Source organism: Homo sapiens, chromosome 3 (genome assembly GCF_000001405.40).
Source record: "Homo sapiens chromosome 3, GRCh38.p14 Primary Assembly".
NCBI lineage: Eukaryota > Metazoa > Chordata > Mammalia > Primates > Hominidae > Homo > Homo sapiens.
The window spans coordinates 11,858,985-11,860,376 of NC_000003.12; positions in this window are offsets into that span (position 1 = coordinate 11,858,985).

Here is a 1,392-nt window from a genome sequence, read left to right on the forward strand (position 1 = left end):
TCTCTCTTTATTCTTCTAGAATTTTAATTGTTTTACTTCGCTGATGTATTTCTTCTTCACGCATACACACGCACACACACACACACACACACACACACACACACACAGTTTAAAATCTAAGCCAGATTTTAAAGACTGTATAACTCATAATAATTTTCTAAATGAATTTTTTTAATTTACAAAAATAGAAACAAAAATTTTTAAGACATATGATTCTATTTACATGACATTTTAGAAAAGTCCATTACATGACTATAAAGGGACAGATGGCAGCTTTTCGGTTTGCCAGAAATGGTGGTTACATAACTGTATAAATTTGCCAAAACTTATTGAAAGACATACTTGTAAATAATACATTTTATTGTATATAAATTATGTCGATAAACTTAATGTTTTCAAAATATCAGTTATTGAAATGATGTGCACAGGCCAGGCATGATGGTTCACACCTGTAATCCCAGCACCTTGGGAATCCAAGGCACTTTGGGAAGCCGAAGCAGGCGGATCTCTTGAGGCCAGGAGTTCGAGACCAGCATGGCCGACATGGTGAAACCCCATCTGTACTAAAAATACAAACATTAGCCAGGCATTGGTGGCACACGCCTGTAGTCCCAGCTACTCAGGAGTCTGAGGCACGAGAATCTCTTGAGCCTGAGAGGCGGAGGTTGCAGTGAGCCGAGATCATGCCACTGAGCTTCAGGAGAAGTTGGATCTGCAACATTATGTTTTGCCATCACGGTTGCAGGCTTCCTAAGTAAATTTGAAAAGTAAAGGACGAGCAAGGTAAAGAGTTCATGGAAAATTGCCACCCTTTTTCTCACATAGGATGTCACAATTTTCTGACATCCCACAGTCAGAGTTGGAGCTTAATACTTACAACTACAAATAATGGTACTATTATGACACTTACATCTGGTATTGTATAGTGTTTCAAATTACATATATGTATGTGAGTATGTATGTGTTTATATATTTTCTTAGCCATTCAGATAGATCCCAGACAGACTGCAGTGCACGTTTATTAGCCATCTTATACATGAGGTTGTCATTTGCTCCAGGGTACATGGCTACTAAGCAGAAGCTCAGATCTTGTAAGTTCTTTTCTGGTAGGTAGAAGAGTAACTTTTTCCACTCTGCTACTTGTAGTTCCTCAGGAAATCAAGAAAGCAGCATCAGAGCTGTATTAGTCTCCTCTTCGATGTAATAAAGTCAGCTATTAGATATGAGAAAACCATTTCAGAAGCCTGGATTAAGGTGAGATCTTTGGAACTTTGATTATCAAGGAGGAAATGAGTGGCAATTAGTGACAGATGTATAACTAAGGTAGATTGAAATAAAAATCTCAAAAGTCATTCAAGGGGAAATGATAGCTGATGGTTGCCATATGGACAC